General features: G+C 39.4%; 1 annotated feature.

The window, feature by feature from the left end:
• Nucleotides 5,006-5,175: an enhancer, noted in NCBI's record as "experimental_33391 CRE fragment used in MPRA reporter constructs". NCBI's record gives its function as "activates a minimal promoter by MPRAs in K562 erythroleukemia cells, with activity observed for both the introgressed and non-introgressed 13:81025530 variant alleles {active_cell/tissue: K562}" and the evidence as "EXISTENCE:reporter gene assay evidence [ECO:0000049][PMID:34662402]".

Here is a 6,714-nt window from a genome sequence, read left to right as displayed (position 1 = left end):
GCCTCCTGAATAGCTATGACTACAAATGTGCACCACCACACCCAGCTAATTAAAAAAAAAAAAATTGTAGAGATGGGGTCTTGCTATGTTGACCAGGTTGGTCTCAATCTCTTGGCCTCAAACAGTCTTCCCACCTTGGCCTTTCAAAGTGCTGGGATGACAAGCATGAGCCTCTGTGCTCAGCTCTTCTAATAGTTTTATAGTTTCAGGTCTTACATTTAAGTCTTTCATCCATATTGAGTTCATTTTTGTATGTGGTGACAGACAGAGGTCAAGTTTCATTCTTATGTGTATGAATATCCAGTTTTCCTAGCAGCATTTATTGAAGAGGCTGTGCTTTCCCCCATAAATGTTCTTGGTTCTTTTGTCAAAGATCAGTTGGCTGTAAATACCAGATTTGTTTCTGAGCTCTCTATTCTGTTTCATTGGTCTATGTGTCTGTTCTTATGCTACTACCATGCTATTTTGATTTCTATAGCTTTGTAAGTATATTTTGAAGTCAGGTAGTGTGATGCCTCTAGCTTTGCTCTTTCTGCTTGGGATTGCTTTAGCTATCCAGGGTATTTTCTGGTTTCATGTGAATTTTAGGACTTTTTCTATTTCCGTGAAAAATGTCTTTGATATATTGATAGAAATTGCACTGAATCTGTAGATCCTTTAAATAGAATGGTTATTTTAACAATATTAATTCTTATAATCCATAAACATAAAATGTCTTTCCAATTTTTGTGTTGTCTTAGATTTCTTGTATCAGTATTTAGTAGTATTTTTTGTAGAAGTCTTCTACTTCCTTGGTGAAATTTATTCCAAGTTATCTATTTTTCTGGTAGCTATCGTAAATGAGATGGATTTTTTAAATCTAGCTCATTGTTACTGTACAGAAATACTGATTTTTTTTTTTTGAGATGGAATGTGGCTCTGTAACCCAGGCTGGAGTGCATTGGCACCATCCCAGCTCACTGCAGTCTCTGCCTCCCGGGTTCAAGCGATTCTCCTGCCTCCGCCTCCCAAGTAGCTGGGATTTACAGGCACCTGCTGCTGTGCTGGGCTAATTTTTGTATTTTTAGTAGAGACGAGGTTTCGCCATGTTGGCCAGGCTGGTCTCAAACTCCTGACCTCAGGTGATCCACCCGCCTCGGCCTCCCAAAGTACTGGGATTACAAGTGTAAGCCACCGTGCCCAGCCAAAACACTACTGATTTTTGTATGTTGATTTTGTGACCTGCAACTTTGCTGAATTTGTTTGCCATTTCTAAGAGGGTTGTTTTTTTTTTTTTCCAGTTTTATAATGTGTTGTTCTTTTTAAGTTCAGGGGTACATGTGCAGGATGTGCAGTTTTGTTACATAGGTAAACATGTGTCATGGAGGTTTGTTGTAATTTCATAACCCAGGTATTAAACCTAGTATCCATTAGTTCTTTTTCCTGACCGTCTCTCTCCTCCCACCCTCCACACTTCAATGGCCCCAGTGTGTGTTGTTCCCCTCTATGCATTGGTGTGTTCTCATTATTTAGCTCCCACTTATAAGTGAGAACATGCAGTATTTGGTTTTCTGTTCCCACATTAGTTTTCTAAGGATAATGGCCTCCAGCTCCATTCATGTCCCTGCAAAGGACATAATCTTTTTCTGGCTGCATAGTAATCCATGTTGCATATGTACACATTTTCTTTATCCAGTCTATCATTGATGGGTATTTAGGTTGATTCCATGTCTTTGCTATTGTAAATAGTGCTGCAGTGAACATACGTGTTCATGTGTCTTCATAATAGAACAATTTACATTCCTTCAGTTACATACCTACTAATAGGATTGCTGGGTCAAATGGTCTGTCTTTAGGTCTTTGAAGTATTGCCACACTGTCTTCCACAATGGGTGAACTAATTTACACTCCCACCAACAGTGTATAAAAGTGTTCCTTTTGCTCCACAGCCTTGCCAGCACCTGTTATCTTTTGACTTTTTAAAAACAGCCATCCTGACTAGTGTGAGATGGTATGTCATTGTGGTTTGTGGTTTGGATTTCCATTTCTCTAACCGTATTTTGATGAAGTTTTTAGGCTTTTCTATATATAACATTACATCATCTGAAAAAAGGAACAATTTGACTTCCTCTTTTTTCAATTTGAATGTCCTTTATTTCTTTCTGTTGCCTAATTGCTCTGGCTAGGATTTCCAGTACTATGTGAAATAAGAGTGGTGAAAGTGGCCATCTTTGTCTCATTCCAGTTCTTGGAAGACAAGTTTTCAGCTTTTCTTTGTTCAATATGGTGTGGTCTTGTTATATTTTGCCTTTTTGTGTTAAGGTATGTTCTTTCTGTATAATTTTTAAGAGTTTTCATCATGAAGGGATGTTGAATTTTATGAAATGCTTTTCTGAAATGTTTTTCTGCATCTATTGAGGTGATCATATGGTTTTTGTCCTTTATTCTGTTGATGTGATGCATCTTATTTATTGATTTGCACATGTCAAAACATCCTTGCATTCCTAGTAAAACTCCCACTTGATTGTGATATATAATCTTTTTGATGTGCTATTGGATTTGGTGTGGGAGTATTTTGTTGAGGATTTTTGCATCCGTGTTTATCAGTGATACTGGCTTGGCTTTACGGTTTCTTTTGTTGTTGCTGGTTTTTGTTGTTTTATGCTTTTGGTATCAGAGTAATGCTGGCCTGATAGAATGAGCTAGGAAGAATTTCTTCCTCTTCAATGTTTTGGAATAGTTTAAGAATTATTGTTAATACTTTTTAATGAGTTTGGTAGTATTCATCAAGGAAGCTATCCAGTGCTGAGCTTTTCTTTGTTGAAAGAACTTCTATTACTGGTTCAATCATATTACTTGTTATTGGTTGTTCAGGTTTTCTATTTCTTTGTGACTCAATCTTGGTAGGTTGTATGTGTCCCGAAATTTATTCATTTACTCTAGGTTTTCCAATTTTTCAGTGTATAGTTGTTCATAATAGATTCTCATGATCCTTTCTATTTCTGTGGTATCAGCTGTAATACCTCCTTTATTATTTCTGATTTTATTTGGGTATTCTTTTTTATTCTTAGTTTAGCTAATGGTTTGTTGGGATATTGTTTTTTCTTTTCATTTTGCTCATCTTTTTATGTTTTTAGTTTGTTTTGGTTAGTTCTGCTCTGATCTTTATTTCTTTCCTTCTAGTAATTGGGGTTTGGTTTGTTCTTTTCTTCTTGAGGTACATCATTAGGTTGGCTATTTGAAATCTTTCTACATTTATGATGTAGGTGTTTATTGCTATACACTTCCCTCTTAACACCACTTTTGCCATATTCCCTAGGTTTGGGGATGTTGTGTTGCTATTTTCCTTTGTTTCAAGACTTTTTATTTTCTTATTTTCATTGGCTTGTCATTCAGAAGCATGTTGTTTAATTTCCATAGATTTACACAGTTTTCAGTGTTCCTCTTGTCATTGGTTTCTAGTTTTATTCCACTGTGGTCTGAATACATAGAATAGGTACTTGATATAGTTTTGATTTTTTAAAAGTTGTTGAGACTAGTTTTGTGGCCTAACATGTGGTCTATCCTGGAGAATGTTTATGGTGATAAGAAGAATGTGTATTCTGGAAGGAGCAGAGTCACTGGCAGTGACAGAGGCAAGCCCCAGGTAAACCAATCCTCAGGCCACTGCGGTGGTATATTTGTGTGCCAGGTGACTCCACTGCTGGAGAAAGCACGATTGTTGGTAGCAGTAATGGATCCTGGGCAGGCTGGTCCTCAAGTCCCTGGGGAACATGCACAGGTACACAGCTGCTCTGCCACTAGAGAAGGTGGGGCCACCAGTGACAATGGTAGGCCCTGGGCAGGCCAGTTCCATGACCCATGGGGAACACATGTGGGTGTGTGGCTGCTCCACTTCTGAAAATGATGAGGTTGCTGGCAGCAGCAATCCCCAAATAGGTTGCTCCTCATACCCCTGAGGGGCACATGTGGGTATATAGCTGCTCTACCACTGGAGGGAGTAGGGTTACCTGTGGTGATAGTGGTGGCAAGCCACAGGCTAGCTGGTCCTCAGGCCTCTGAGGTGCATGTGAGCACAGAGGTGCTCTGCCACTGAAGAGGGCAGGGCTGCTAAGGAGGCAGCAAGTCTCAAGCAAGCTGGTTTTTAGGCCCCAGAAGGATGCCGGCTCCACTGTGGGTATGGGTAGTGTTACTTTTGGTGGTGGTGGGCCCCAGGCAAATTGCTCTCAGGTTCTAGACAGCAATGCATGTCAGTTCCCTTGGTCCTGGGGGCAGCCTCCCTACATTATTGGACCACCTGTTCCCCAGGGTACAGGATACCACACGGGTTCAGGTACCAGGATGATGGCTGCACAGTTGGGTCCAGCTGGTGTTGCAATGTTGCAGCCTCTAGATGAATGTGACAGGATGTTGGTAGGGCCCCAGGGATGTGGCAATTAGGAGCTATTGGGTCCCAGAGCAGGATGCACTCTGTTGATCACCCAACTCTCAAAAAGACAAAATGCTCTGGTGGCCTGGGTCCCAGAGGGTGGAGGGTAACACTGTAAATTCCCTCTCTTGACTAAGGCAGTCATGTGGACTCCAGACAACTCCTATACTTGGCTCATGGCCTGCAAGGTCCGTGGGGCTCTCCTATTGCTAGGGCAGAAGGCATCTGTGGTGGGAATGTGGAATGTTCTTTGCTTACCTTTCCCCTGTAGTGGGGAGGTCCATCTTAGCTCCAAGTTGATCTTGGCTGGGTACTTCGCTTTTTTTTCTATGCTGCTATCTCAAGTCTCTGTGCCTCTGGGTGTCTTTGTCACTACTTTGCTTAATTCCAGTGTGTTCCTCTAGACACTATTTGACATGTGGTTATCTGTTATTTTGGTATTTCTTTGTGGAGGAGTAAACTGCTGAGTGTCTCTAGTCACCCAACTTGATCTATAACCTAGTTACTCCCTGGTCTTTTGATATTTTTTATCTTCATTGCCTTGTATCAATGAAATATTGCTGGTTAAACATGGATGGACAGTGTTGACATTAAAAATTGCCTTCGAGTTATGAAGCCATTCTTCTATTTTTCTTTTGGTTTCCAAAGGCCTCCTCAGACTTTACTTTTGCTTCAAAAACACCACTTCTAGTTGGTGAAGAACAGGTGGTAAGAAGGAAAATAAATGTACATTCAACTATTTCCCTTGTCTTCAGGTTGAGAAAAAATAAAGAAGTGGTTGTGTTCTATAGTCCTGAGATAGGACAGAGAATTCCTAGCCAGTGCAACAGAAAAAAATTGAGAAAGGAAGTGATAAGCCAAGCTTAAATTAATAGGACTATACTGAGATTCAAATGTAAGAATACCAAGTTCTTACAGTGCATTTAAGAATACATGCCATTCTAAAAATACACGTAAGATACCAAGTGCAGAGTATCAGAGATTTTAAAAGTTTCAAGTCACAGAGCCAAGAGTTCAGGTTAGAAACAATCAGACTGGAAAATTGGAGGAGTCCTGGGGCTTGCCATAAGCCTAGAAAGTGTTTATAATTTATATAAGGATGTGTAGTAAGATTTGGCTCACTTAAAATCAAGGGTAAAAAGATGTAGCATCAGTGAAACTCTGGAAAACACAATGTAGTTGATAGGCAGAAGAAAAGAAAACAGAGATTGAGCAGAAGCTGTTTGAAGTTATGACTATGGTTTGAATGTTCCCTCCAAAACTCACATTAAAACGTAATCCCTTGATTTGGCAATATTGAGAGGTGAGGCCTTTAAGAAGTGACTGGATCATGAAGGCTCTGCCTTCAGAAATTGACTAATCTATTTATAGATTAATGGTTTAATAGTTAATGGATTAATATGGAAAGGAACTGGTGGTTTTACAAAAGGAAGAAAAGAGACATGACCTACCATATCAGCCCACTCAGCTTCCTCACCCTGTGGTTTTATGTACCACCTCAGGACCACAGAGTCCCCACCAGCAAGAAGGCTCTCATCAGATGTGGCCCCTCAACCTTGGACCTCTCAGCCTCTATAACTGTAATAAATATATTTATTTTCTTTATAAATTACCTAGTTTCAGATATTCTGATATAAACAGAAAAAGAACCAAGGCAGTTATTTAAAAAGCAATGAGACAGGGTCTTTTAGACGACCAAGAAAGAAAAGACAGGAAGTTTATGTAAACTGAAACCAGTGGAGATTGGATAAGTTAAGAATAGAAATACATCCACTGATTTGACTATTATCAAGCCATTCATATCCTTGTCAATAGCTGTTTCTGTACTGTGACAAGGATAGAAAGCAGAAAGCAGTGTGTTATCAAGTAAATGGGAGAAGAGAAATTACAGAGATAAGCAAACAATACATTTCAACAACTGTAGTTATGAAGAGAAAAATAATAAAATGCTAGCTAGGAGATAAAAGTTGAGGGAGGTTTTCTTTTTTCAGAAAAAGTTGAGCAGTATATATGTTTATCTTTTATGTGACAAATATAAAATCCAACTTGAATTGCTTAAAAAACAAGAAGGTATTGACTTTTTAAAACAAAATGATCCACAAGTAGAGTAAGCTTTAGGAATGGTCTGATAAAATTTTCTGCTTCTCTAATAAAAACTATTCCCTAGAGTCAGCAGTGGGGCAGGCTTCCTTAAGGTCTCATGATTACCCCTGCTGGAGATTGTTGGTAAGATGAGGGGGAAAGATGTAGTAGATGTTGAGGAGACCACCAAAAGGTGATCCCACTTCAGTCCACATCTTTGTTAC

Source organism: Homo sapiens, chromosome 13 (genome assembly GCF_000001405.40).
Source record: "Homo sapiens chromosome 13, GRCh38.p14 Primary Assembly".
Lineage (NCBI taxonomy): Eukaryota > Metazoa > Chordata > Mammalia > Primates > Hominidae > Homo > Homo sapiens.
Note: the sequence above shows the minus strand (reverse complement) of the source record. Positions and strands in the feature narration are given on the sequence as shown.